A 6,285-nucleotide genomic window follows, 5' to 3' on the forward strand; every position below is an offset into this window, starting at 1 on the left:
AAAATCAAAAAGAGGAAGATAATGAGCTAAGTAGGGGAGTGAGAGGCAAAAGTGAATCTGGAAAATGAGGCCAATGGATCAGTAGTACAACAACAAGAATGACACGAAGCATACACTGTGATGGAACCATGAGATCAGAAGAATGATGGAAAATCCTAGCATATAAGATAAAACTATAGTTTTAGGAATTTAAGAGACTGTTGAGTCTCTTAAATATAGCCACCTAAGGTGGGCTATATTGGTCTCTATTAAGTTGTGTGAATGACTCAGATGTATTTACAGGTTATGGCATAGGAAAAGGCAAAAACAACTTTTCTACCATTAAGATTCACTGACACCAATGGTGATTAGGCACACTGACGAATTGCCATTTTATTAACAGTAACTCTCTGCATATCTTGCACACAGCACAGCCTAAAACTGTTGAAAATTTTATATCCCAGGGAATGCTCTCAATCATAGATTGACCCTAATGACAGATAAATACTGTAGCATAACTGCAGGTTGGGGGCCAAGTCTAAGGTCAATTCTACATAGTTCTTTAAATAGTTCCCAAAAAGATGAAATCCTTGTTCAATAACTAAGCTGCTTATCAATGTGCTCTTGAAGGCTTTCCTCCATTTCCTCTCTAACTTTCCCATTGCCTCACTTGTGCTTCCAATGACCACCTTCCAAATAAACACAAATCTTTGAGTTCCTGTATGTTTTAGGAGTATTTAAGCTATGTACTGACAAATAAAAGACAAAGTAAAAATGTCAAAACTAATTAATTTTTTATTAATTCCAGTATTTAATATAATTATTACTATAAGATAAAGAGTGATTGGCTTTGACCATTTTACCTTTAGAAAATGAATTCAGATCACTTGCCTTGATCTAGTTTCTTTTTAGTATATCCAAATACAAAAAAAAAATCTTTTTTTTTGCTACAACTATTAGAATGGGAAAAAAATACATATTCTTTTAGGTTTCCATTATTTCGAGGAGAAGGGATTCCTCTGCATTCAAAAAATAAGGTTGCTCTTGGTTTTACATAGCATCAACAAAATGTCAATGGTAGCTTCATATAGAATCAATGAAACATTAGCAAGGCCTCCAAAAAGTAGGTTAGTCTGAAAGCATACTCTCAATAGCTGTATAAATATGACACCAGGTTAGAGAAAAATGATCAAAATATTTTTAAGTTAAACATTTTTAAAGTGTTAAAAATGATACAAAGGAAAGTTTAAATTACAAATGATGAGTCTTAAGTAACATTATTAGATATTTAATTTTCTTCTAAAAGTATATGCCTATGAAATAGATAATGTCAATATTATACTCATTGAAAGTCTTCAAACATAATTTTTTATTTGCTTTTTTCTTTTCACTTGAAAATTTTTACTTATGAGAACTATAATTTGTTGCTCTTTTTAAGATTATAACTAAAGTTATTTCCTAGCCACATAGCCTGTCCAACAGTAGGCTTAAATCTCTTCCAGGCATTGTTGGTATAAACTGTTTGCCTACAGAAACCCAATCATTGTCGAAAAAAACCTCCAATACATCTATAATCTTATCTTGAATAGTGTCGTTCATATTTCCTTTATCAAGTATAGTTTACCTGATATAACGTAACTATTGAACTTTTAAATCATAGATAATCCTTTCACACTCACACTCTTTCAAAAAATTCTAAGGTTTTCTTGTGAATTAAGGAAAATAAAGTATAGGAACTCATTGGCAACAGTAGTCTATTAATGTATTACAAAGCTGCAAATTAATGAAATTTGAATCATCTTCATTTTACATGCAACCAACTCATTGAATCTTTTTTGGAAGTTAAGAATCAAGATGTGGGAGATTGTAATGTTTCAAATGCAATTATGAAATGTTTGTTTTAAACCCACTAATTAATTAATGAGCCTATCCTTTGATGTTTATGAGCATTATTTTGTAAATCAATTTTTGACTATTTTTCCTTGCAAGTTGTTTCATTTGTTATAAGCCAAGTCATAATTTATTGTTAACGCACTTTGCAAAAAGCAGGAAAGAATTTGTTCCCATTTGAAATCAACTTAAAATAAGTAACAACAGTCTATAATTAAAGATGAGGTAAGAATACATATTTGGAAATTTTAAAAAAATAATAGATAAAATAAAGATTCCAATTGAGATGGTGCAAGAATCAGAAATGGTTACAATAATACAATATTTTGATCTTCCAAAATAATGATTTTTTATTGCCAATGCCATTTTACAAAGAGGCAACATCATTAGGCAGCTATTTTTGCATATGTGAGATGAAACATTATGCCTTTTCTTTTCTTCAAAACTTTATTTTCAAAAGAATGCTTTATATGTTGAAAAGGGTAGTGTTGCAAAGCGTGGTGAAGAAAAACACTTTTTGTTTCCTAATTTACAAATGAAAGTATGGAGTTTTAATCAGAAGTTTAATATCTCCTATGCAAGCTAAACACATAATTTTTATATTCCATTATATAAGTTTGTATTTCTGTTTCAAAGACTAAAGTTATCAGCATGAAAATATGTTCTCAATAGTCGTAATAAGTCATTCTTTTACTCAAGAAATTTGAGTACTTATATAATGCCAGACATTTTTCAAAGTACTGGGGATACTGCAAATAAAACTAAGTGAACACTATCTCTGCATTCTGGAATTTATACTGTAGTTAAAAGAGACATACAATAAACAAATATATGATATCAGATGGAGATGAGAGTTACAGATTGAAATAAAGTAAAATAATGGGCATAAGGCATGCTGGGCATAAAGGAGGCTGCTACAAGATCTGTAAGGTGACAAAAAAAGACTCCATTAATGCCACAAAAATGTTCCCATTCATATTCATTCTAGTAATTTAATTTTTATACCCTTTACTAGCTTTAATTATTTTAATTTACCTTTGCTAATGAAATAAAAGTTTATTTCCCAAAGAGCTGTTACTCAACACCGTACATTGAATAAGCTATCTTTTCTGTATTTATATCAATTACTGACTTCACCACAGGCTAAATCTCAAAAGTACATAGAGATGCACTTTTGATTTTTTTTCAGTATCTACTTGTCTATTTTTGTGCCAAAACCATACTCTTTCAATAACTCTAACTTTATAATATAAATTGATTTCTTGTAGGATAACACTAACCAAATTTATAAACATTGAATACTATTTTTCTTTCAAATGAACCTGAGAATCAGATTTTCAAATTTTGTAAACTGCCTTGTTAGAATTAGAATTGAAATTGTACTATATTTACATAGTAATTAGAGGAAAAACTGTGTAAAAATGATATGATACTATTTCCTAAGTTTTTTTAACTCACACTTAGAATTCTGGTAACAGGGTGGCTGGCAAGATGGCCAAATAGGGACAGCTCCAGTCTGCAGCTCCCAGCAAGATTAACGCAGAAGGTGGGTAATGTCTGCATTTCCAACTGAGGCACCCAGCTTATCTCACTGGGACTGGTTAGACAATGGGTGCAGCCCACAGAGGGAGAACAGAAGCAGGGTGGGGTGTTGCCTCACCATGAAAGCACAAGTGATCAGGGAACTCCCTCCCCTAGCCAAAGGAAGCCATGAGGGACTGTGCCATGAGGAATGGTGCACTCCAGCCCAGATACTATGCTTTTCCCATGGTCTTTGCAACCTGCAGACCAGGAGATTCTCTAAGGTATGTACACCACCAGGGCCCTGGATTTCAAGCACAAAGCTTGGCGGCCATATGGGCAGACACCGAGCTAGCTGCAGTTTTTTTTTTCCATACCCTAAGGGCGCCTGGAACACCAGTGAGACAGAACCATTCACTCTCCTGGGAAGTGGGCTGAAGTCAGGGAGCCAAGGGGCCTAGCTCAGCAGATCCCACCCTGACGGAGCCCAGCAAGCTAAAATCCACTGGTTTGAAATTCTCACTGCCAGCACAGCAGTCTGAAGTCAAGCTAGGATACTGGAGCTAGGTGGGGGGAGGGGCTTGAGTAGGCTGTTTTCCCCTCACAGTGTAAACAAAGCAGCCAGGAAGTTCTTACTGTGCAGAGCCCACTGCAGCACCACAAATCCTCTGTAGTCAGACTGCCTCTAGATTCCTCCTCTCTGAGCAGGGTATCTCTGAAAGAAAGGCAGCAACCCTAGTCAGGGGCTTATAGATAAAACTCCCATCTCCCTGGGACAGAGCATCTGGGGGAAGGGGTGGCTGTGGGTGCGGGTTCAGCAGACTTAGATGTTCCTGCCTGCCAGCTCTATGGATCTCCCAGCACAATGCTTGATCTCTGCTAAGGGACAGACTGCCTCCTCAAGTGGGTCCCTGAATCCTGTGTCTCCTGACTGGGAGACACCTCCCAGCAGGGGTCAACAGACACCTTATACAGGAGAGCTCCAGCCAGCATCTTGTGGGTGCCTCTCTGGGACAAAGACTCCAGAGGAAGGAACAGGCCGCAATCTTTGCTGTTCTGCAGCCTCCACTGGTGATACAGGAAAACATGGTCTGGAGTGGACCTCCAGCAAACTCCAGCAGACATGCAGCAGAGAGGCCTGTTAGAAGGAAAACTAATAAACAGAAAGAAATAACAGCAATATCAACCAAAAGGACATCCACACAAAAACTCCATCCAAAGCTCACCAACATCAAAAACCAAAGGTAGATAAATCCATGAAAATGAGAAAAAACCAGCGCAAAAGAGTTGAAAATTCCAAAAACCCGAATGTCTCTTCTCCTCCAATGGATCACAACTCCATGCCAGCAAGGGAACAAAACTGGACAGAGAATGAGTTTGACGAATTGACAGAAGTAGGCTTCAGAAGGTGGGTAATAACAAACTCCTCTGAGCTAAAGCAGCACGTTCTAACTCAATGCAAGGAAGCTAAGAACCTTGAAAAAAGGTTAGAGAATTGCTAACTAAAATAACCAGTTTAGAGAAGAACATAAATGACCTGATGGAGCTGAAAAGCACAGCACAACAACTTTCTGAAGTATACACAAGTATCAATAGCTGAATCAATCAAGTGGAAGAAAGGATATCAGAGATTGAAGATCAACTTAACGAAATAAAGGGTGAAGACAAAATTAGAGAAAAAAGAATAAAAAGGAACAAACAAAGCCTCCAAGAAATATGGGACTATGTGAAAAGGCCAAATCTACATTTTATTGGTGCACCTGAAAGTGATGGGAAAAATGGAAACAATTTTGAAAACAGTTGTCAGGGTATTATTCAGGGGAACTTCCACAACCTCACAAGGCAAGCCAACATTCAAATTCAGGACATACAGAGAACACCACAAAGAAACTCCTCGAGAAGAGCAACCCTAAAACACATAATTATCAGATTCACCAAGGTTGAAATGAAGGAAAAAATGTTAAGGGCAGCCAGAGACAAAGGTCTGGTTACCCACAAAGGGAAGCCCATCAGACTAACAGCTAATCTCTCTGCTGAAACCATAAAAGCCAGAAGAGATTGAAGGCCAATGTTCAAAATTATTAAAGAAAAGATTTTCAACCCAGAATTTCATATCCAGTCAAACTAAGCTTCATAATTGAAGAAGAAATAAAATCCTTTACAAACAAGCAAATACTGAGAGATTCTGTCACCACTAGGCCTGCCTTACAAGAGCTCCTGAAGGAAGCACTAAATATGGAAAGGAAAAAGGGGTACCAGCCGCCACAAAAACATACCAAATTGCAAAGTCCATTGACACTATGAAGAAACTGCATCAACTAATGGGCAAAATAACCACTAGAATCATAATGATAGGATCAAATTCACACATAACAATATTAAGCCTAAATGTAAGCAGGCTAAATGCCCCAATTAAAAGACACAGACTGGCAAATTGGATAAAGAGTCAAGACTCATCGGTGTGCTGTATTCAGGAGACCTGCTTTATCTGCAAAGACAAACATAGGCTCAAAATAAAGGGATGGGAGAATATTTAACAAGCAAATGGAAAGCAAAAAAAGCAAGGTTTGTAATCCTAGTCTCTGATGAAATGGACTTTAAACCAGCAAAGACCAAAACAGACAAAGAAGGACATTACATAATGGTAAAGGGATCAATGCAACAAGAAGAGCTAGCTATCCTAAATATATATGCACCCAATACAGAAGCACCCCCATTCATAAAGCAAGTTCTTAGAGACCTACAAAAAGGCTTAGACTCCCATACAATAATAGTGGGAGACTTTAACACCCCACTGTCAATACTAGACAGATCAATGAGACAGAAAGTTAACAAGGATATTTAGGATTTGAACTCAGCGCCAGAACAAGTGGACCTAATAGACATCTACAGAAT

At 36.6% G+C, this 6,285-nt stretch overlaps 2 annotated features.

Annotated features, from left to right (window-relative positions):
- Positions 3,170 to 3,916: an enhancer, noted in NCBI's record as "H3K27ac hESC enhancer chr5:45847424-45848170 (GRCh37/hg19 assembly coordinates)". NCBI's record gives its function as "activates a minimal SCP1, AML or CMV promoter by ChIP-STARR-seq in primed H9 embryonic stem cells {active_cell/tissue: H9 hESC(primed)}" and the evidence as "EXISTENCE:reporter gene assay evidence [ECO:0000049][PMID:30033119]".
- Positions 3,917 to 4,663: an enhancer, noted in NCBI's record as "H3K27ac hESC enhancer chr5:45848171-45848917 (GRCh37/hg19 assembly coordinates)". NCBI's record gives its function as "activates a minimal SCP1, AML or CMV promoter by ChIP-STARR-seq in primed H9 embryonic stem cells {active_cell/tissue: H9 hESC(primed)}" and the evidence as "EXISTENCE:reporter gene assay evidence [ECO:0000049][PMID:30033119]".

The sequence above is a fragment of the Homo sapiens genome, chromosome 5 (assembly GCF_000001405.40).
Source record: "Homo sapiens chromosome 5, GRCh38.p14 Primary Assembly".
NCBI lineage: Eukaryota > Metazoa > Chordata > Mammalia > Primates > Hominidae > Homo > Homo sapiens.